The 23,621-nt window shown below is 41.8% G+C and overlaps 1 protein-coding gene and 1 long non-coding RNA gene across 3 annotated transcripts in view, besides 4 other annotated features; both read right to left on the bottom strand.

Moving 5' to 3' along the window:
* Nucleotides 1-8,905, bottom strand: part of EEF1E1 (eukaryotic translation elongation factor 1 epsilon 1) — a 29,189-nt gene extending 20,284 nt beyond the window's left edge. For both annotated transcript variants that reach the window (NM_001135650.2, NM_004280.5), the window contains exons 1-2: nt 8,792-8,905; nt 3,624-3,824 (exon numbers count right to left, since the gene is read on the bottom strand). In NM_001135650.2, the coding sequence (NP_001129122.1) occupies nt 3,624-3,824; nt 8,792-8,878 (288 nt within the window). In that variant the 5' untranslated portion in view covers nt 8,879-8,905. The remainder of the gene's footprint in view (nt 1-3,623; nt 3,825-8,791) is intronic.
* Nucleotides 1-8,952, bottom strand: part of EEF1E1-BLOC1S5 (EEF1E1-BLOC1S5 readthrough (NMD candidate)) — an 89,029-nt gene extending 80,077 nt beyond the window's left edge. Inside the window, exons 1-2 of the long non-coding RNA NR_037618.1 lie at nt 8,792-8,952; nt 3,624-3,824 (exon numbers count right to left, since the gene is read on the bottom strand). This is a non-coding gene — a long non-coding RNA (EEF1E1-BLOC1S5 readthrough (NMD candidate)). The remainder of the gene's footprint in view (nt 1-3,623; nt 3,825-8,791) is intronic.
* Nucleotides 8,304-8,489: a silencer, noted in NCBI's record as "fragment chr6:8102180-8102365 (GRCh37/hg19 assembly coordinates)". NCBI's record gives its function as "represses an EF-1alpha promoter that drives an FKBP-Casp9 reporter gene in an ReSE screen in K562 erythroleukemia cells {active_cell/tissue: K562}" and the evidence as "EXISTENCE:reporter gene assay evidence [ECO:0000049][PMID:32094911]".
* Nucleotides 8,698-8,817: a silencer, noted in NCBI's record as "silent region_16895". NCBI's record gives its function as "represses an Ori minimal core promoter by ATAC-STARR-seq in GM12878 lymphoblastoid cells {active_cell/tissue: GM12878}" and the evidence as "EXISTENCE:reporter gene assay evidence [ECO:0000049][PMID:35858748]".
* Nucleotides 8,958-9,157: a silencer, noted in NCBI's record as "silent region_16896". NCBI's record gives its function as "represses an Ori minimal core promoter by ATAC-STARR-seq in GM12878 lymphoblastoid cells {active_cell/tissue: GM12878}" and the evidence as "EXISTENCE:reporter gene assay evidence [ECO:0000049][PMID:35858748]".
* Nucleotides 15,490-15,682: a silencer, noted in NCBI's record as "fragment chr6:8109366-8109558 (GRCh37/hg19 assembly coordinates)". NCBI's record gives its function as "represses an EF-1alpha promoter that drives an FKBP-Casp9 reporter gene in an ReSE screen in phorbol 12-myristate 13-acetate-treated (for megakaryocytic differentiation) K562 erythroleukemia cells {active_cell/tissue: K562(+PMA)}" and the evidence as "EXISTENCE:reporter gene assay evidence [ECO:0000049][PMID:32094911]".

The raw sequence follows: 23,621 nt of genomic DNA on the forward strand, positions 1-23,621 counted from the left end.
CTAAAAGGAAGAGTTTTAAAAATAAATAATAAAAACCTATACAGCCCAGTACAAACACAGGCAAGGAATACATGTAAGTGAATTTTTAAAAATAATAAAATAGCTAATAAGCAGTATGAAAACGACACATTAATAATTGTATTAAAAAAAAAAGCAAATAATTTTTTTTTTTGAGACACAGCCTCGCTCTGTTGCCCAGACTGGAGTACAGTGGAGTGACCCTGGCTCACTGCAACCTCCGCCTCCCAGGTTCAAGTGATTCTCCTGCCTCAGCCTCCTGAGTAGCTGGGACTACAGGTGCGTGCCATCACGCCCAGCTAATTTTTCTGTTTTTAGCAGAGATGGGGGTTCCACCATGTTGGCCAGGCTGATCTCGGACTCCTAACCTCAAGTGATCTGCCTGCCTCGGCCTTCCAAAGTGCTGGGATTTCAGGCGTGAGCCACCGCATGCGGCCTCAAACGAATAATTTTTAAATTTTCTTGTTTTGGTAATTAAATTGGGGTAGTGAAGGAGAAAGAGGTAATACCATGTTAGTTTTGTGGAAGAGGCCACTCTTATATGCTATGATACTATAATAATGTACTTTTCTGGAGGACAAATGAGCAACATAGCTTTAAAAATATATAGCTTTTAGCCTAGCAGTTTCTCTTGCAGGAATTTAGCCTAAGGACGCCGGGTGCGGTGGCTCACTCCTGTAATCCCAACACTTCAGGAGGCCGAGGCGGGTGGACCACTTGAGGTTAGGAATTCGAGATCAGCCTGGCCAACATGCTGAAACCCCATCTCTACTAAAAATACAAAAAAAATTAGCTGGGTGTGGTGGCATACACCTGTAATCCCAGCTACTTGGGAGGCTGAGGCAGGAGAATTGCTTGAACCTGGAAGGCAGAGGTTGCAGCCTGTGTGACAGAGCAAGACTCTATTTAAAAAAAAAAAAAAAAAATTAGGCTAAGGAAACAAATGGGAATGTGCTCAAGTATTTAGCAACAATCTAGTAACTACCCAGGGATAGATAATTTAAATTGTGGTACAATTACAGCTTAAACCTTGAACAACGCAGGTTGGAATTGCACAGGTCCACTTAAACACAAATTTTCTTCTACCTCTGTCACCCAAGAGAGTAAGACAAACCCGTGCTCTTCTTCCTCCTCCTTAGCCTACTCAATGTGAAGTGAAGACTATGAGGATAAAGAGCTATATGACAATCCACTTCCACTTTATGAATAGTAAACGTATTCCCTCCGCCTTATGATTTTCTTAATAATATTCTTTTCTCTAGCTTACTTTAAGAATACGGTATATAATACACATAAAATACAAAATATGTATTAACTGACTTTATGTTACAGGTAAGGCTTGCAGTTAACAGTAGGCTATTAGCAATTGAGTTTTTGGGGAATCAAAATTATACATGGATTTTCAACTGCTCAGGGTGTCATTGCCCTGCACTGTTTAAGGGTCAACTATATATGATGCAACGCTAACATGTTATTAAAAGGAGAGTGTAAGTGAATACTTGTTGATGTAAAAAGGTGTTGACAACACATTGTCGGTGAACAAAAAAACAGTTTACTGGCCAGGCGAGGTGACTCACGCCAGTAATCCCAGCACTTTGGGAGGCTGAGGTGGGCGGATCATTTGAGGTCAGGAGTTCGAGACCAGCCTGGCCAACATGATGAAACCCTATCTCTACTAAAAACACAAAAAAACGAGCCATGCGTGGTGGTGCACACCTGTAATCCCATTTACTCGGGAGGCTGAGGCACGAGAATCACTTGAACCCAGGAGGCGGAGGTTGCAGTGAGCCAAGATTACGCCATTGCATTCCAGCCTGGGTGACAGAGTGAGAACCTGTGACAAAAAAATAAAAAGAAACAAAACAAAACAAAACCAACAGGTTACCATGCCCAGTAGGTGCCTGTTTTTTTTTTTTTTTAATACATGCACACATATATACAAAAGGAAAAAAAAGGCATAGAAAAAACACAAAAGGGGTTTAATAAATATCTGATGGCCAAACATAAGCATTAATAGTTCTCTCTTGTTGGTGGGACTATGGATGTTTCAAATGTCCTCCATTTGCTTATTTCTACTTCCTAAATTCTGTAATATTTACTGCTTTTAAAATAAAAACAATACTGTCTTAAAATAGCAAAACAAAACAAATCAACCCTTTTCTCATCTGTGCATGTGGCCAAAATCACATTGCAATCCACTCTATGTACAATCGGTCTCACCCACCAGTCTGAGTTCTATAAGGGCAGAAACTGTGTCTAATGCACCACCAGCCCTTAGAACTGCATCCTGGTGCACTGCAAGCGTTTATATAGTAGGTGCAGATGAGCAAACTGCGGTCAGACAAGGAAGACAATGCAAATTGTCCAGCTCCACATATATTTCAAAAACAAGAACATCTTAAATCAGAGGCTCCCAATTAAATATTTACATGTCTCAGAGATAACACTTTGGAAGTTATTTCTATGCTTCTAATACCACATCTATTAATATAACTTTTGAATCTTATAAACCCAATTCATTGAAATTCTGTTCCTATCTTTCGGAATCAAGTACTTCATTACTATCCTTTCCCTTGGAAAACTGTAAAAGATGGTTGTGTTCACTTGTTATTTGCCTGAAATCTCACATTCACTTGGAGGGAGGATATGACTGCTTCCCCCTGGAAATGCTGTGAATAGTAGGGGCACAAGAGAAGGGTCCCTGTGAATGACCAATATGGTATTAAGAATAAATGGTTGATCACAACAGACATACAAAGGGCCAAGTTCTGAAACTGACTTTGTACCAGTTCTCTTGATGGCATCTATCAAGAACACAGTTTGAGCCATTTTCCCCAAAGTGATAAAGGAAGACCTTTCTTGTACAACTTACATTGCCAGGATATAACAATCAGAATAAAATTAAGAAACAGAAGGAATTCCTACAGTGATATGCTGTTGTCTGAATAATCTCTAGGTTTCTTTCAAATTTAAAGCTTCAACAAAATCTTAAAATCTGCCTTCTTTTTATATAAATAAATTAACAAAAATAACTTCATTTGGAATTTTTTTTTATTCTTGGTAACTCTGAAGCTATATCCAGTAGATTATTTTATTATTTGATGCCTTTGAAAATAAAAATTTAAAGCAATGATTCTCAAAACAGGGAAAGGTGAGCTTTCCCAGATCAGACAGTTTTTTTCAAACTAAACCCTAAAAGATTCTGCTTCTCTCTTGCCTCTGAGAAAGTACTTTACCCCTTAGAGAATCGGGATTGTCGAGTGGGGCATCACATCAAAAAAACAAAAAAAGTCATATAATACTGTAATTATTGACTATGACAAGGGTCCTGAAGGAAAAGCACAGGGTGCTGTGACTGCATATAGAACAAAGAACCTCATCCAGCTGAGAGAGAAGTAGTCAAGGAAGTTTCCAAGGCAGCATATCTTGGAGGGGCTGGTGGGGGGAACAGAGTCTGTTCCAGGCAGAGGGAATAACAGATGCAAACTACTGAGGCAGAAGGAAAGAGGTGAAGAAGGCCAACAGCTACAGCTTTTTAATCTCAGGGGAAAGAGATTTCTGATTAACAGTTCATGCATTTCAGCCTATAAGAGAAGTCACGATACCTTCAACAGTGTGTGGATGTCATTTTTACTGGAGTGCCCATCTACTTGAGTGACCCTGTATTCTAACCACTGCTGAACGATTGCTTTTTCTTCTGCAGTACTCCCCAGCAAATATTCTTTGTTGGCTTGCTTGACTAGATGAGCTGCTATAGTAGTCAATCCTGTTAGACTTGGACCATTGTTTGTCTGAAGAACTGGAATCTTAAAAAGAAAAAAAAGTTCACAGAATTTAAAAAACAAGGACCACATCATGATTATAACTTCTAAGTAACCACGAAATCCCTCAAGTGTTTTTTGAAATAATCCTGGATTTTACTCTAAGATACTAAATTACATACAAATGAAAGTCTAGAAAATAACAGTTAAATAATTTACAATTTGTTAACAGATGCTTGATGATGAAACTGGTAATAACATTGCAAAAATCCGTATAATATTACTACAATAATCAGTATAATATTACTACAATAATTTTAAACTATGTACAATGAGAGAAAATGGAAACTCTAATTATACTGTATTAATTTCAATCAAGTTTACCTGCACCCTATTATATAGCAAAGTGAACATACTTAAATAAACCTGACTTCATGTTTCCCCTATTACGACAGCAATATAAAGGATCAGGTTTGCTTGCTTATAAGAAATTGACAATTAATTTAAATTTTATTGATACACAAATAAGGACAATGCATTATGAGAAATGTAAAAGAAAATGGAAAGTATTACCTAATGGGAAGACTGACCAAACACAAATAACAAGTATACAATCTCAATGACTTAAGTAAATGAAAAAAGAATTGTTTTTTTGGGAAGACTGCTGCTCTTCTTAGCAATGAAATAGAAATAGTATCTTTTTTTTTTTTCATTTGAGACGGAATCGCACTCTGTCACCCAAGCTGGAGTGCAGTGGCATGGTCTCGGCTCACTGCAACCTCTGCCTCCCGGGTTCAACCGATTCTCCCACCTCAGCCTCCCAAGTATCTGGGACTACAGGCACGTGCCACCACACCCGGAAGTTTTTTGTATTTTTAGTAGAGACGGGGTTTCACTATGTTGGTCAGGCTGGTCTGGAACTCTTGACCTCGTGATCCACCCACCTCGGCCTCCCAAAGTGCTAGGATTACAAGCGTGAGCCACCGCGCCCGGCCGAAATACTATCTTGTTCTCTATAGTGATTTATACTTTGCAAGGCATTTTCATACATCTACATCAACACGACTTGGTGAAGTATACAAGGAGATTAATACTCTACAGGATACAGATTCAAAGTAAGGAGGTAACTTCAAAGTAAAGGAGGTAAAATTCTTTTCACTTTCCATTCACTATTCATAGCTCCTTGACTTCTCACTTTTGTCTTAAATTCAAATGAAACCACAAGCTCTAAGATCACCAATAAATTAAATGTATTGAAAGAAAACAGTATGGAACCCTCCGAAGGGTGCCAGTAATGTTCTACTCCTTGACTGGGTGGTTACCTGAGTGTGTGAACTTGGTGGTAACATCAACATGTGTGTACTGAATGTATGGTATATTTTGAGGAAAAAAGAGAAATCAAGGGACTCACAACTGCTGGGCGGAGGGGACACAACCAACTCTAAAGAGAATTATTTGTAAAAATAAATTATCCACAACCCAAGCATGCTCTCAAAAAAATTCCCAGTTACGTTCTCATCTAATCATTACATCTTCTAAGATAAGGTAAGTCATCTCATCCTCATTTTACAGATAATAAAAACCAAGGTTGCTTGGTTTGCAATGGCAGAGCCAGGGTTTGAATAAAGTCCTATTGGCTTAAACGTCCATTTTCTTTCCTTTACATACCCTAAAATACACAATTCTTATGAGACACATACTATTTTCACATTCATTTTAAGGTTCCATAGTCTTCAAAGTAATGACTTTTAATGGCTGCATATGCAATAGCGTGCAATGCATAATGATATTCTGGTCAACGATGTTCTGGATGGCATATCCAATGGTGCTCCCTTAAGATTATAATCAAGTATTTTTACTGTACCTTTTCTATGTTTCAGTATATTGAGATGCATAAATACTTACCATTGTGTTACAACTGCCTACATTATTCAGTACAGTAACATGCGGTACAGGTTTGTAGCCTGAAGGAGCAATAGGCTATATCATATACCTACTATTTGTGAAGTAGGATAAACTATCTAGGTTTAAGAACACTCTAAGGCTGGGCGCAGTGGCTCACGCCTGTAATCCCAGCACTTTGGGAGGCTGAGGTGGGCGGATCACCTGAGGTCGGGAGTATGAGACTAGCCTAACCAACACGGAGAAACCCCGTCTCTACTAAAAATACAAAAATTAGCCGGGCGTGGTGGCACATGCCTGTAATCCCTGCTACACGGGAGGCTGAGGCAGGAGAATCCCTTGAATCCGGGAGGCAGAGGTTGCAGTGAGCCGAGATCGCACCATTGCACTCCAGCCCGGGCAACAAGAGTGAAGCTCCGCCTCAAAAACACACACACACACACACACACACACACACACACACACACAAAAAAAAAACAGAACCCTCTATAATGTTCACACATGATGAAACTGCCTAACAATGCATTTCTTGAAATGTATCCTTGTCTTTAAATAACACGTGACTGTATGTCAATGTGTTGATGTACCATAATTTAAAGAATCAATATCCTAGATAAGGATCTCTGAACTGCTTTCAATTTTTAAACTATGATTGGTAATGTTGCAGAGAATGCCTTATTGCTGGCTCACTGCTGTCAGCTGTCTTCTCAAAAAATGGCTGAATCTTATCACATATGGCCAACCCTTTCCCCATACAAGTAAACAGAAACTTTCACTAGCTGCTAACTGCTAAAATGCTTTAATTAAAATTAAATTAAAAACCACACTCTGAACTCGGAAGTCTTCACAGTTGGGCCTCAAACTGTAATTTGGGGTTTACCTTGCATTGCATCATTCCTCATATTGGTTTACTTACTGCCCTAAACTTCCCAATCCTTCATAATTTATTGGTTTTACACATCTTTCAAAGCATAATCCCTTAAATGCCAGCTCTTCCATGAGTTTATACATCCACTTTTATAGTCAGAATTAACTTCCTTTTTCACACTCCTCAACAGTGTTTTGCTCCATATGGAGTCCTAATTAGGGAAAAGAAGTCAGGTTGAGGGGACCAAGGGAAAGCAAAAAGAGAAGGGCGATAAGCTACAAGTCTGCCTTTCTTCATGGTCCAGGACACAGCCCTTCTGCACAAATAACTCAACAATCTTTCCATGTCCAGCTATCACCGGACCTTCGGCTGATAGAAAACTCAAGTTAGCTCACTGCAACCTTGGTGTTATCAGTACTGCACAAACCCCTCTTCAGCACACAACTGAAGTACTATTCCGTAAAATCCCCAGCCAGCCTTTGTTTCCTTGCAGTTAGCTCCTCTCTTACTAACTTGCCTGTTGCACTCTTGCAACATATTTTCATACTTTCTCTAATAAATCTGCTTTTCTTTACGTACAGCTGTCCTGGTAAATTCTTACCCTGGCGCCACCAGCCCCAGAGAGTTGCTGCTCACCCACGACAGTCCATGAAGTGCTTACTATGTTGTGCTTTAAATTATTTGCTGATGATTGTTTCTCATACTAGATAATACTCATATCTTGGCAATGGTCCCTAAAAAATATAAACTAGGCCAGGCACAGTGGTTCACGCCTGTAATCCCAGCACTTTAGGAGGCCAGGGCATGTGGATCACCTGAGGTCACCAGTTCAAGACCAGCCTGGCCAACATGGTGCAACCCGGTCTCTACTAAAAATACAAAAATTAGCTGAGCGTGGTGGCGAACACCTGTAACCCCAGCTACTTGGGAGGCTGAAGCAGAAGAATCGCTTGAACCCGGGAGGCAGAGGTTGCAGTGATCCGAGATCATGCCATGGCACTACAGCCTGGGCGACACAGTGAGACTTTGTCTCAAAAAAAAAAAAAAAAAAATATATATATATATATATATATATATATATATATATATATGGCACTCTTCCAATTTAAACGGTTGCAATGTTTGTCCACTCGGCCATATATATTATATTTATACTACATATATATTATATAATATATACACTAAGCTAGGGAGTAGGGGCCGAAGGGACGGAATTATCACTGGGGCAGAGGAAACACCAAAAGAAGGCCACTTTGGCTCCAACGCCTACTCTGCCACCAATCACAGGGCTGATCTTAGGCTGAACACTTAACCTTTCTAGGCTTCAGGTTAACTTAAATAAAAACTATACTACTACTTTCTAGACAAGATCTTCACATGGACCAAATGAAGAAGAGAAAAAATTAAAGACAAAAACCAAACATCATTTGGAAAAAATCTCAAAGGAGCAAAAAAAACATATATCCAAAGTAGTCTTCCTACAACCAATTTCCTTCTCTAATACATTCCTTCTACGACAAACAACTATAAAACACAAACGTTCTAACAGTGCCTAACCAGGCAATCTCATACCTTGTGATGTTTCCCGCATTCACTGTGGGTCGTAACACTTAAACTGATAATCCAAGGCTTTAGAAACGCCTTCCCCGAATCCCCTAGATTGGGCCAAGACTCCTTAGGTGTTCTCTCTGCCATTTATGGTGCAACGTGGCACTCTTCCAATTTAAATGGTTGCAATGTTTGTCCACCTGGCCAAAAAGCAAGCTGCCTGAGAGGAGGAAGCATGTTCCCCTAAATCATCATTGTATTCCCCAGACCCAGCACGGTGCTACCTGGCACCCTGTTAGCTATAACGGAGTCGCTGCGCAATAACTGAATGAAAGGTGCGATTACGGGAAAAAAAAAAAAGCCAGTTACTGAATACATTCCAGGTTGGTCTAAGAGCCCTGTGAGGACCCTCCTCCAACTGGTTTTGTTTCCTCATAATGGGATGATGACAATTTCCCAGGAGGTGAAGTTCAGGCCAAGCCCAACCTGAGCTGGTTAACCCCTCCCTCCAGGAGGTAGGATGGCAGGGGCCGAGGCCCAGAGGCGCCAGCCGGCTAGCGGCGCAGACACGTGGGGAGCTGGGTAGCAGCATCCTCACTCCGCCCGTATCTGGTGGCCGGCCCGGGTCCTGCCAGGGCTCGGCAGGCCCCGCTCCCGTCCACCTCTTCCCCTCCGCGCCGCCTCTCCTTCTCACCTGTCGCTCGCCCTGAGCACTGTATTTATTCCCCTTACTCAGTCCCAGGGACTTCTCCAGTAGCGACAACTCTGCGGCCGCCGCCATCTTCCGGCCGTAGCTCCTGGCAGACGCGAGACCTGCAGAACAAGAACCTCCCGCATTGGTGGAAACAGAAGTCCCACTCCTGCAAACTTCAGCGGCGATTGGCTGAACGGAAGGGGCGTGGAGAGCGCGCGCCAAAGCACAGGAGGCGGGGCCGGTGGAAGGGGCGGGGCTGAGGGCGGGGTGTGAGACAGGTGGAGAAGTGATGGTAAATTTCCACTCGAACTGTTGGGGAGCTAGTTACTGGTAGAAAGGCCCCAAGGCCGGGCTTCGGTGGCTGCAGTAGACTGGATCTGGATCTCTAAATGGCAATCTATTGACATGGCTGCCAGCGGTAACTCGTTAACTCATTTGCTAGTCTAAGAGAATTTATATATGATGGGAACTGAAATTTGCCTTAGTTTGGTTCAGGAATCTGTAAATTTGAACAATCAAATTGAATAGCAAAAAGTTCACAGTCCATTAGGAGTTTCTAACGTGTAGCATAATTCATGAGGATTTTAATTGTGTTGTAGTGGTGAATTCGAAAAACTGGTTTTTCTACTGTTGATCTACAGCTCAACACTAGCAGTAGAATTATACATTTAAAGATTATTCACAGAACACGGAGTATGTCAGATAGGGGTCAAATAATTACAGCTCAAGGAAATAAGCCATTAATGGCATTAATGATCTTTTTTTGCAGTACCAGAAGGCTGGTTACATAATTTATGAAGTTTTGGTATATAAATAAACAAGGTGCATAACTTTGCCCCACTAACTTGCTACATTCTTGTATCTTCAAAAAAGAAAGAAAGGAAGAAAGAAAGAAAATTAGTAGTATATGTTGAATATTTCCAAAAGATTTGTGAAAATACAAAATATTTTCCACTTTGAAGAATGAATAAACAAAGTGTGTATTAGTCTGAGAGAAATAGAACAATCCTACAAGGTAACTCATCATTGAATCAGAAATATCAAAGTTTAGTGGGGAATGTTGTTACTGTGTTACACCTTCCCTATCCCAGAATACTTAATGAGTTTACTCTGTCAGCAGAAGTAAACATAAGGAAAAGAAACTTTTGCCAAATCAACATAACAAAATACAAAAGAAATTTCAGTATAAGTGGATTGTTAGGCACTAAATTATCTGTTTTACTTTCCATATTCAGATAATGGAATGACTATTCTACTACTTTTTAAAAGACCAACCCTCTAAGATAATTCACATATCCATTTTCAGGGTTTAGGTACACTTTTTGCTTGTAATAAAACATTTTTTAAAAAAATTAACATTTATCCAATGCCAATGGGTGGTATATTGAAAATAAGGTTTGGCCTTTGCATAATTATAGAAATATCAAATTAAAAAAGAAATCCCTAAAAAACTGAAAGCAGAACAAAGCATATTGTACATCAAATTGATGACATCATCACCCAGTGTGGACCTCTTTTAAGTGACTTTATAGCACAGTCATTTAATTGTATACTCTTAGTAAGATATGCTTTAAGGACAAAATTCATGAAAACCTGTTTTTGGTTCTTTTTGTTTGTTGGTTTGGTTAGCATCTTGGCAGTGTCAGCATTGGTATGGTGCTGTATATGTACTGTGGAATAAAGCAAAGATGCAATCATGTGGTGTTGCTGGAAAGTTGGGTGTTTGGTGTTGCCCAAAAGAGGAGTTGTAAGGTAGATGAGGTTAAATCAAAACTTTCTGGTCCTGAATTTGAATTGTAATATCAATATGAACTTATGACGCTTTTATCTTAAGGAAAATGAAAAGTATTTCCTACCTAGCTCTGTTTACTTAAAAGGCCTAGAAACAAGGACAACTCAGTAGCAATGAGCACCCCAGCACCCAGATTCTGGTTTCAAATACTATTTCCCACAAAAAGAAATGGGGGCTCTTTGGAGACCGGCTGAATCCAAACCTTGCGGGGAGATCAGTCTGGACCATCTAGTTATAGTAGAAAGAAAAGAAAGTATCTAAGAGTAATGAGGGGAGTCAAAGGGTAGGATCAGATCACTTGAGGGTCAATAATAGTCATTACAAGCTGAGAGTCGATAAGAATAATTGCAATGAATTGAAACATGTTGAATATGTTTAAGTCTATGAGTTCATAATGATACTAAAAAAAAAACAAGAACAAAATCAAAATAACCCTCATTCGTTACCTTTGGAGGATACTAGAGATCCAATTCATTATTTTGAAAAAGGATAAAGAAAACACATGAAGAAACCAATATATTTTTTCATGATTATCCTATGTAAACTGTATCTCAGGGAAACTAAACTCTAATGAGGAAAAATGTCTTTATAGAATTCTAACTAATAAAAACAGAACAATAGAATATTATTGTTTTGCAGCTACGGATATAATAATGAATCTAGGTGACAATTATCAATAGCTATTCACATCATAAAAACAGAGACAAACAGACATAAATTGCTTCTGAGAGAGGTGTACATCATCACCCAGTCTTGCCAATCGAATCTGAATTTGACCAAGCCTTTTGATCTAACAGCCAATTTACAAGAAATAATAGCAGGAAAGAGGATCATGTTAAATGATGTCATGGAGATGCAATGAGCAAATTCTAGATCATGAAAACTATAGGACAAATGATCCAGTTGTTTCAACAAGTAAATTGCAAAGCAAAAAGAAGAGGCAGAGAGAAGTGAACCTGTAAGTTGAAAGCATTATAAGGGAACTGTCAACCAATTGCAATATATAAATCTTTTTTTCAAGTCTGGTTCCAACTAATAAACTGTTAATTTTTTTAAGTGGATTGTCACATCATGATTGTGGCAAATGTCTACTACATTCCATTTTATATACTATGGGTATTAAATTCCATGCCCAAATTCACATAACTAATAGATCTGTGCATGAATCATCTGGGGATTTAAAAAAAAATCCATGCCATACTGGAGATTCTGATTCACTTTATCCGGGGTGGGACTGGGTGCTATTATTATTATTTTTTTAATCCTCAGCTGAGTCTAATATGTGGCCAGGGTTGAAACCCCCTATGGCAGATGCAGAATTTCAACTCTGCTTCCTGGCTTTTAAATCCACACTGTTCTGATTTTCTAATGTCTCCTTTCTCTGTTGTTACGGTGAGCAGGTGCAAGCTTTACTTCACTTAACATTAGACATAAGAAAGAGGAGAAAGCTTATATTTTATTAGAAATAATCAATAAATGTATTTTTAGATGATCTACATATTTGATCTGAAATATCTATATCAACACAGCCTTACTCATAATAAAAGTAACTTGATGAATTGATTTTGTCAAATAGAACACTTCTCTAATCTGCTATTATCATAGTCAAGTTTTAAATCCACAGTACCTTAGGATATAAATTAAATGTCAAATGAAATTAATTTGGCAAGTGGAACATAAACTGGATGGCTTTTCTTTTTGGAGCATGCCTGACAGCTTTCTGTATGTCATATGGGCATCTGTTAAAATGAGCTGCATATGCCAGAAACTGTTACTGTATCAGATTGCTCTTAGCAGTGCCATCATCTGCAAATTTTCAGTTTTAGAAGAGTTTAACTTTCTATTTCAGAATATGATAGGGTTTTAAACTTAGGTGTGAATGATATTAAATATGTGGTAAATGAAGTGATGCAGGTGCTATGCATGCATTTTGTTCTCTCTATAGATACCTCTCATATCTATGTATGTCTTGCACTTACCACGCTTGTTTATTGAGCCATTACTATGCACCAGGCACTGTACAATGCACTGGGGACACATTGATGAACAACTCCCATCAAACTTAGAGTATCTTGAGAGGAAAGACACTAGAACAATTTTGCGATAAGGCAAAGATCAGGAAGTGGAAGGCATGATAAGAATGCAGAGAAGGCACCTGGCCAGGCGCGGTGGCTCACACCTGTAATCCCAGCACTTTGGGAGGCTGAGTTGGGTAGATCACGAGGTCAGGAGTTCAAGACCAGCCTGGTCAAGATGGTGAAACCCCATCTCTACTAAAAATACAAAAATTAGCCAGCTGTGGTGGTGGTGGGCACCTGTAATCCCAGCTCCTCAGGAGGGTGAGGCAGAGAATTGCTTGAACCTGGGAGGTGGAGGTTGCAGTGAGCCAAGATTGTGCCACTGTACTCCAGCCCGAGCAACAGAGTGAGACTCCATCTCAAAAAAAAAGATTGCTTCCAAGAGGTCATGGTGTTCAAGTTGAGACTTGAAGGATGAACAAGAGTTGGTCAGGTGAGTGGTGGGGTGGAAAACTGAGGGAGAGTTCTGAGCAATGGGAATTGCATATGCAAAGGCTGCAAAGTGGAAGAGAGCATGATTCTTTGGAGTAACTGTTCAGGCTAGACCGGTAAGCAGATGCTGGATTGGAAGGGTCCTTGAACGATGCCTCTAAAAATTTTTAGAGGCCTCTGGGCATCCTTTATTTTTGATGGTTAATTTTATGTGTCACCTTGACTGGGCTTCAGGATGCCTGGATATCTGGTAATACATCATTTCTGGGTGTGTCTGTCAGGGTGTTTCCAGAAATGATGAGCATTTAAGTTGGTGGACTGAATGAAGATGATCACCCTCACCAGCGTGGGTGGGCATCATCCCGTCTGTGAGGACCTGGATAAAACAAAAGTATGAGGGAAGGTGATATTTACTCCTGACCTGACTGCTGAGCTGGAACACTGATCTTCTCTTGCCCATGGTGCTCCTGGTTCTCAAGTCTTCAAACTCAGATGGGAATCTTTACCATTGCTGTCCAGCTCCCAGGCTTTTGAATGGTACCACCATGTATTAGTCCATTTTCACGCTGCTGATAAAGACATACCTGAGACTGGGCAATTTACAAGAGGAAGAGGTTTATGGGACTTACGATTCTGCGTGGCTGGAGAGCCTTCACAATCATGGTGGAAGGTGTAAGGCACATCTCATGTGGCGGCAGACAAGAGAAGAGAACTTGTGCAGGGAAGCTCCCATTTTTAAAACCATCACATCTCATGAGACTTATTCACTGTCATGAGACCAGCATGGGAAAGACACACCCCTATGATTCAATAACCTCCAACCAGGTTCCTCCCACAACACGTGGGAATTGTGAGAGTTACAATTCAAGATGAGATTTGGGTGGGGACACAGCCAAACCATATCACAGCATCTTTCCTGGGTCTCTAACTTCCAGACAGCAGATCACTGGACTTCTCAGCCTCCATAATTGTGTGAGCCAATTCTTATCTACAATCATTTATATACACCTATCTCTATGCGGAGGACAGAGTCTTGCTATGTCACCCAGGCTGGAGTGCAATGGTGTGATCTCATCTCACTGCAAACTCTGCCTCCCAGGTTCAAGCGATTCTCCTACCTCAGACTCCTGAGTAGCTGGGATTATAGGCACGCACCACCACGCCCAGCTAATTTTTTGTATTTTTTAGTAGAGACAGGGTTTCACCATGTTGGCCAGGCTGGTCTTGAACTCCTGACCTCGTGATCCACCCACCTTGGCCTTCCAAAGTGCTGGGATTACAGGTGTGAGCCACCATGCCTGGCCTCAGGTGATCTTTCTTAGCTGCCAATCTATTTGGTCACTCCTTCCAGAAAACATGCCTGTGGCTCTTCATGGCACTTAGAATTTAGTCCAGCCTCCTTTATCTGGGAGCTAAGGTCCTTTATAACCTGACCTCTGTTGACTTTTTCATGCTCACTTCTAGACACTTCCTGCCTGGCATTTTTTGCCCCAGCCTTGGCCATCTCCTCACAGCTCCTGGGAGCCCAAAATATTCTCTTGCCTCTGGGCCTTTCTGTCTCTGGTTCACTCCAGCAGGAATGCCCCGCTTCCTCTCTTAGGGCTGAATTTGAGCACTCATAACAGCCTTGGGAATGCTCCTGCCACAAGACAGACCCCACTGTGCTGAGGCTACCTTCTTGGTATCTGCCTGCCCTGGCCGGCATGCTGACTGAGCACACAGACTGCATCCTGTTTATTACTGAGTCATCGCACCAGGCACCAGCCTTGGAACAGAGTGATCACTGGATACATTCATTTGCCGAATGAATAAAGAATCATGCAAACATATGGAATGATGTGGAAAGCTAGGTCAATGGGTCAAAACAAGTAACATGAGAACTGTGAGGATATTACACAGTCTCATCTTTAAGCAAACATTAAACACCAAAAATTAAAAATCCCTTATCTGACGGTTGACCAGTGCAAATGAAAATGACTCAAAACTACAAGTCAGGAATGGACAACCAATGTACTGAAAGAAAAATCATTTTCTTTCGCTAGTCTCCCAAACATTCATTGATCCCCCAAACCACCTTCTCTGGGCTCAGGAAGTGGCCATTTATTACATTATCACCATCATCATCGCCATCGTCCTCATTCTCCTCCCTCTCGGCATCCGGCTGTCAAACACTTACTGATCACTGCTCTGTGCTGGACTCTGTTCTAAGCTCTTGTATTAACTCATGAATTATCACACCAGCCTTTGAAGCAGATACCATTGTTATCCCCATTTTATAGATGAGGAAATTGAGGCTCCAAGAAGTGTAAGAAAATGAATCTTCAGAGCATTACAGATAGAGAAATACCTTAGAAAAGAACAAAGTATCCCCCAGATTTTGAGTCCTGCCCCGACATCCTCTCTATAGCCTCCTAATTCTCCGACTCAGCGGCGACTCAATTTAGAACTCCAGGCTCATCTTGGGGGACTCCAGTTCATCAAGGCTTGGGTGGATCTTGGCTTGAGAGCCATGCTGGGGACCCTGCTGCACAGTGTCACTGAGATTGTTGCAGAGGAGGTGTGAGAGAGGAGCTGTCAGCACAGCTCCAACCACAGCCCTGGGGACAATGACAGCAGAGTCACAGGATTTTTAGCAGCAGAACGTCTTCTCCACACTCCCTGGAGGAAGGCTCAAGGGCGGAGCATGTCCTCGGTGCCACCCTTCAGGTGAAGAGTCAGCCTGGGGCCAGCATGCTGGTGACAGGCTAATTCTTTCTGTTCAAGAGCAGCACAGGCCATTGAAGGGACATGTGCCCCGAGAACTACTTCCTTTCAGACTCTGCTCAGGGTCACCTTCTCTCTGCAGACTTTCCTAATCCCTTCCTATCCTCACCCCCAACCCAGGCAGCGCTGGTCACTCTGTGTTTTGGGTTCTGCTGAACCCTGTATTTGCTCCCTACAAAGAAATTTGCCATACTTCATTGCACCTATTTATTCACATTTTGGACTCTTCCAAATAGACTCTAAATCACTTGAGATGCAACTGACACAGAGTAGGCATTCAATAATATTTCTAGAATGAGTGAATGAAGGTTAATGAATAGTAATCATTGGGGCAAAATATTAGAGGGACAGAGGAGTGTTGAAAGAGAATGGGGCTGGGTGCGGTGGCTCATGCCTGTAATCCTAGCACTTTGGGAGGCTGAGGCAGGTGGATCATTTGAGGTCAGGAGTTCGAGGCCAGCCTGGCCAACATAGTGAAACCTTGTCTCCACTAAAAATACAAAAGTTAGCTGGACATTGTGGCTCACGCCTGTAATCCCAGCTACTTGGGGGACTGAGGCACGAGAATCACTTGAACCCTGGAGGCAGAGGTTGTAGTGAGCTGAGATTATGCCACTGCACTCCAGCCTGGACAACAGAGTGATACCCTGTCTCAACAACAACAGCAACAACAACAAAAAAAAAAAAAAAAAGAAAGAAAGAAGATGGGTTTTAGAATGGTGCAAAGGTAGCTGGGCATGGTTTCATGCACCTGTGGTCCCAGCTACTTGGGAGGCTGAGGCAGGAGCCCAGGAGATTAAGGCTGCAGTGAGCTATGGTTGTGGTTGTGAATAGCCACTGCACTCTAGCCTGGCCAACAGAGCAAGACTTTGTCCTAAAAAACAAAAACAACAACAAAAAACCCAAGAAACAAAACAAACAAAGAATAGAAAGGAAGAAAAAAAAAAGAAAGAGAAACAAAGCTATATATAGGCTCAAGGACTAGCCATCCACATGCTGATGTTGAAGGGCCCCACGTGTTCCCATCTGTGACGGGGACTATTGGTTTCCTACCCAAAGCTATTTTCGTCTCCTTTTTACCATATAATAGAGCACAGCTTCAGTAATACTGCCAGGAAGTATAGGGGCAAAGCTTGTAAAACGAAGGTTGATAACTTTGGTCCCAAGTTGGTAACTTATTCTCTCATGGCCTTTCTCTGCTAATAATTTTTAAAATGGCTTTTAAAGAGTTATCTTAGAATCTTTTGTAAACTTCAGTTCACTTTAGACTTTTTCTTTCTCTATAACATTCATGTATGTATTAGTTATAGTTGTCTTGATAACAAGTAGTTCCACTGTCTCAGAGGCTTAGCACATAGAACACTCATGCCATGGTTCAATGTGGGTCTCTGATTGCCAGTCACTTGGGAACTCAGACTTCCAGTCTAGTGATTTCATCATCCTCTAAGGCTTCAAAGTCCCTTTCTGGGCCCTAGGCTCTTGTCATTTGAACTATAGATGAGGCAAGAGGGAGACCGTTGAGGACTACACTAGGTATTATGGGCTAGGTCTGAAAATGTTGCACATCATTTCTGTCCAGATCTCATTGGCTGAAACTCAGTCAGGAAGACACACCTGGCTAAAGGGAGGCTGAGTGAAGTGATCTGATCCGTCAGTCTGCTTGTTATTCTGCACCTGTGCCCCAGTTTTATTCCCATTCTCCTTGGCCCTGCTCTTTGACACAGAAGACTGAGTCTGTGGATGACATTACCCAGAGTCTCCTACCTTCTGGCTTCCAGATAGGTTCAGTGTGAGAGGCACAGTTAAGAGATTGGAGAGCATGAGTTTGGAGTATTTATTGCCTTTCTCCCTTCCTGCATTTGGCTGTGCAGTAGAGTCTGACTCCGTTTGTGATGTTTGACTGTTCACAGCATTTAGGCCTCCATCCACCCTTGCCCTGCCCACCATCATACATCTGGGACTTCATGTAAGGAACTCCCCACCCCAAGCTCCTGACCTCTTGATGTTTGAACCCCACAGCTTCATGACAGCTTGCACCTGCCCTTCCCCAGAAGTGCTCTGTGTGTTAGTAATAGACTTTCTTTCTTACCCTCTTGGTGCATGAAGGAGGGTCATTAGTCTCCATATCTGATCTATTGATTGGGAGGAAGTCTGTACCCTATTGGTGGAATGACCAGAAAACAGGCTGTGTTATCTGAGAGCAGTTGGTAACCTAGAAGTGGTAATGGCTTTCTATTCTCGCTAGTCCCTGGGCACCTCAACTTCCCGGATTGATTTTCTTAATCCTTTCCATGCTTCTATATCTAGTCCTTTCTTTAGAGCCTCTTGAAACATCAGAGTTAGATTCTGTTTCCTGCAGGAAACCTGATGGATATGGGAAGAAGAGGGAAGTGGTCTGGTGAGCATTTAGTCAGTTGCTGCAACATTATGATCAGTGCCAATTTTTAAGTTTAATCCTTGGCTTTCAGCGAATGTGGATATATATGGTCAACATTATTTGTCTTATATAAATGCACTAGCATATATAATACATATACTGATGAAAGTAGATGGACTTTTATGAGGAACTTTAGTAGATGAGGGTCTTTTTCACATTGAAAAATTTTGCTTTCAGGCTTTTTTTGAGATTAAAATGGCATTTGAACATTGGGATGAAGACTACTCATCTGAAACTGGGCTTTGGCTAACTGGGCACAAACATGCTTTATATAAATTTTCACTGTAGGGTCCAAAGTAGTTCTTTTTTTATTTTTTTATTTTTTGGGGACAGGGTCTTACTCTGTGGCCCAGGCTGGAGTGCAGTGTCACAGTCTCGGCTCAGTGCAGCCTCTGCCTCCCAAGTTCAAGCAATTCTTCCACCTCAGCCTCCCGAGTAGCTGGGATTACAGGGCCATGCCACCACACCCAGCTAATTTTTGCATTTTTAGTAGAGACGGGGTTTCACCATGTTGTCCAGGCTGATCTCGAACTCCTGACCTCAGGTGATCCAGCCCCCCCCAAACCCCCTTCAGGCTCCCAAAGTGTGGGATTACAGGCATGAGCCACCACTCTCAGCCGGCCCAAAGTAATTTTCAGTGAAGGGGTACTGCTGTAAAAATGAGTCTGCAAACTAGATGCCCTTCCTCCTCCAATTCATCCTGCTGAGATGCACATAGATGTGTGTGTCTTAGAATCAGCTGATGCTGGGAATAGGTCCCTTGTTATTAAGGAGGAAGATGCCAAGGGAGTCAGGAGGAGAGAGGTGTGTTCCTACAGTGCTGCGTGGAATTCTGCAGATGACCTAGCTGCTCCTGTCTTACTGTCAGTTTCTGCAGTCAAATCAGGCAGTTGTAACTTGCGTTTCTCTACTTTCTTTGATTTCATATCAAGCATCCTGCAAATTGGTGGGCATTTTTCAAATTCCCTTAAAGTTTGTGAACAAGCATCTCCAAGGAGCACTTGCCATCTCTGTGCCTGATTTGTGTATGCTCACTGGCTTGCAGCTTTTCCCAGGTTCTCTGGTGTTAAATTAATAACAAATGATGTAGAGCTGACAGGCAGGTGAAACTGGGGAGAACCATGATATTAAAAAAAAATCTCAGTCTATTATGTAGCACAATGTGCAACACTTCGTCAGATTTTGCCTGCAGGTATCTTAATTTTGCTTAAATATTTTGCTCATATCTTTTTAACCCAGAAGATGGGAACGTAGCCCTTAACATCTCTCAAGCAGACTGTGTAGCATATGTTAGTGTGATACAGAATACCAAACTCTGCCAGCTATTTGGCATTCTTTGAAAAGGCACTAGATAAAATAAAAATAAAGAAGATAAAAATACTTTCATGGTGGAGGAATTGTCTGATTCCCACTCGAAGTTATAAGGCGCATATTTTGGATCAATATAAACATTATTTTCTCACAGACAGAGCTATCCAACTGTGACTGCCTCAAAGTTAGAGTACTCTTTGTCATTGCAAGTATTTAAGAAATTGGAGATCATCTGCCAAGATTCTTTGGAAATGATTCGTTGCAAGTATGCAAAATATTGGAAGAATACTTTGCAGTTTTAAACTACATACATTCAATCTGCTTTACATATTAAATTTCAATGTAATCTTTTAAAAATACTATGGAAAATTAATATACACACAAGTAGGGATAATAACATAATGAACCCTTATTACTGATTACCCAATTTCAGCAATGAGAACATTTATTTTAAAGAACAGTGCCACTGCTAAAAACAAATTTAGAAGCTTCTGGATTGGATGATGCCTGAAGTCCCCCAAATTCTATTTTATGGGCAATATAAGGGTCAGCCAAAAAGTGAACACCACTCAATGTCCATCATCTGATAATGAATAAACATAGTATGTCCATACAAGAGTAGATGTAGCATAATTTTTTTTTTTTTGAGACGGAGTCTCGCTCTGTCACCCAGGCTGGAGTGCAGTGGTGCCATCTCGGCTCACTGCAAGCTCTGCCTCCCGGGTTCATGCCGTTCTCCTGCCTCAGCCTCCTGAGTAGCTGGGACTACAGGCGCCTGCCACCTCGCCCGGCTAATTTTTTGCATTTTTAGTAGAGACGGGTTTTCACCGTATTAGCCAGGATGGTCTCGATCTCCTGAACTCGTGATCCGTCTGCCTTGGCATCCCAAAGTGCTGGGATTACAGGCGTGAGCCACCGCACCCGGCCATTGTCTGCTTCTTATGCTACGAAGTGTAGGTCCGTTTTTTAAAATATCCTCCCCATGCATTCAAATTTGTCTCCCCCAGTTCTGCAGCTATTTTTTTTTTGAAAGGCTCATTACTGAGCAAACATCTCTTTACGACCCACCTCTGTAAATCCCTCAATGAATGACCAACTTTGAAATGACTTCATGAGGTTCTCAGCTAAAGTAAATTATCAGCTGCACTATCTGGGGAGAAGAGACTAAGGGGAAAGGAGTGACTTTATTTTTTAGTAATACATGACTCAAAACGTCGACTATTCGTTATATCACCCCTACCCATGCATGGCTTGCTTCTGGGGTCTCTGAAATAGAATGAATTAATATTTTCATTTAGTTTTATTCTTGAAAGGGTGAGTTTCTCCACACACAGCATGGCTTTGTCTTCTGGAGAGAGGCAATAAATAAACAAACAGTAAATAATTTAAATGATTCCGTAGTGATAAGTGCTGTTGAGAAAATAAAAGAGATTTATATCAGGAGGTGGGTTCAGGAAAGGTCTCTCTAAAAAGGTGGCACTTGAAATGAGGCCTAAATGACATGAAAGAACCTCTGAGAAGGTTTCTGTGGTGCAGCAAGTACAAGATTCTGAAGCACAACAGATTTTGATTGAAAAGGGGTTGAAGAGAACTTGGTGAATAGAGAGGGGGAGAGATAGGGGATGAGGTCAGAGTGATGTGTAAGGACCAGGACATCAGGGGCCATGATGGGGTCTTTGGGTTTTATTTCAAATACTCTGGGGAGCCTTCAGAAGCTTTAAGCAGGGACATGATGTAATTTGCTGTACACTTTCAAAGATCATACTGGTAGTCATGTGAAGAAAGGATGGTGGGGCAGAATGAATGGCTGCAGGGAAATGAATTTGCCAGCCATTCACGGGGTTCAGGTGTGGGATTACGGCAGCCTGGTCTATCACTTAGGATTAGGATTGTGATACTAATGGCGGATTACGTAATAAACTCAACTATATTGGCTTCATCAAAGGGGTTTTTCACACAAGAAGAAGTCTATTGATGGCAGTCCATGGCAGTCCTTGGCTGCTCTTTTGTGCCTTTAGAGCCCAGGCTCTTTCTGTTTTCAGCCTCTGTCATTCCAACATGTTGCTCTTGTTCTCATGGTTGACAGATGGCTGCTGTACCTCCATTGCATGTGCCTTTTTAGGCCAAGAGGGCAAAAGGGAAAAGGCACTTCCCTTTTATCAGGAAAATATTGTACTGGTTATGGTTATCTGCAGAAAACTGAATTTACTCCAGCAATACTACTGCAATCCTACTTGGCCCCTGTGATGTTCAAGGCCAGATGCTAAAGCTTCATCACCGCTGCTCTTGGAAGATCCAGATCAGGCTGAGTTCTCAGCACAGCTAACTCCCCTGTTCTCTTCTTCTTGCCTAGTAATGGAACCCCTGATTGATACATGGACCCATGACTGTCCACAAGAAAGACTACATTTCCCAACTCCCATGCATCTAGGTGAGGCATATGGCTCGGTTCTGGTTAGTGGGATTTAGGCCAAAGTGTCATGTGAATGAGCCCTCCCTTGTCTGACCTTCTTCCTTTTGCTGACTGGAAAGCAGATGTGATGGCTTGAGCTGCAACAGCCATCTTGGACGATGAGGAGGAAGCCATACATGAATGTGGCAGAAAAACAAGAGAAGAAGCTCGGCTCACTCATGACTATAGAGTTGCCAAATCTTGCTTTCTTCAAGAAAAGTGTCTAAATGACTTTCTTCCTAGCCTTCAGTGAGAATCCAAAAACCTCTATTGTTAGGAAAACCCCCAGGAAGGGCAGAAAGCAACTGAAACCTAGCTCCCCTCCTCACCCCTGTCCCTGCTCCCCAAAGACTAAAGGTTGGATGGGCCTGGGTGATATGATGACATATGCCAATCTCGATCACGTGCCAGATGCCTCCATGTCAATCTTCTGGCTTCCCTGGGTCACACTGGAAGAAGGATTGTCCTGGGCCACATATAAAATACATGAACACTAACAATAGCTGATGAGCTAAAAAAAAAAAAAAAGAAATTGCGGCCGGGCGTGGTGGCTCATGCCTGTAATACCAGCACTTTGGGGGGCCGCGGTGGGCGGATCATGACGTCAGGAGATCGAGACCTTCCTGGCTAATACAGTGAAACCCCGTCTCTACTAAAAATACAAAAAGTTAGCCAGGTGTGGTAACGGGCGGGCGCCTGTAGTCCCAGCTACTTGGGAGGCTGAGGCAAGAGAATGGCGTGAACCCGGGAGGTGGAGCTTGCAGTGAGCCGAGATCGCGTCACTGCACTCCAGCCTGGGCGACAGAGCGAGACGCCGTCTAAAAGAAAAAAAAAAAAGAAAAAGAAATTGCAAAAAAACTCATAAGTTTTAAGAAAGTTTACGAATTTGATTTGAGCCACGTGTAATGCTGTCCCAATGCATCCTCGGGGCCGTAGGTCGGGCAAGCTTTTTCTACGTAACCAAGAAATAAAATTTGTTTTGCTTATGCCATTTAGTTTTGTGTGTGTGCGTGTGTGTGTTTTTTCTGCCACATATATAGCTAAATCTAGTCCTGATTATGTCAAAGGTTTTATTTGAATGTTTTTGTCCACCTGGCAAAATCTTATTTATTCTTCAACACTCATCTCAGTATAAACTCTGTAACTACTTTTTTGTCTTCTCCATGATAGAACTATTCACTCTCCTATTTCTTGTTTAAAGCGTTGTTTGCAGCCATCTTTTCCAGCACATTTTTTTTTTTTCAGACGGAGTCTTATTCTGTTGTCCAGGCTGGAGTGCAATGGCACGATCTTGGCTCACTGCAACCTCTGCCTCCTGGGTTCAAGTGATTCTCTTGCCTCAGCCCCCTGAGGAGCTGGGATTACAGGCATGCACTACCATGTCCAGTTATTTTTTGTGTGTTTTAAGTAGAGACGGGGTTTCATCATGTTGGCCAGGCTGGTCTTGGACTCCTGAACTCAGGTGGTCCACCCGCCTCGGCCTCCCAAAGTGCTGGGATTACAGGTGTGAGCCACCATGCCCAGCCTCCAGCACATCTTATATTATGTTATATTAATGGCTTATA

The sequence above is a fragment of the Homo sapiens genome, chromosome 6, assembly GCF_000001405.40.
Source record: "Homo sapiens chromosome 6, GRCh38.p14 Primary Assembly".
Classification (NCBI taxonomy): Eukaryota; Metazoa; Chordata; class Mammalia; order Primates; family Hominidae; genus Homo; species Homo sapiens.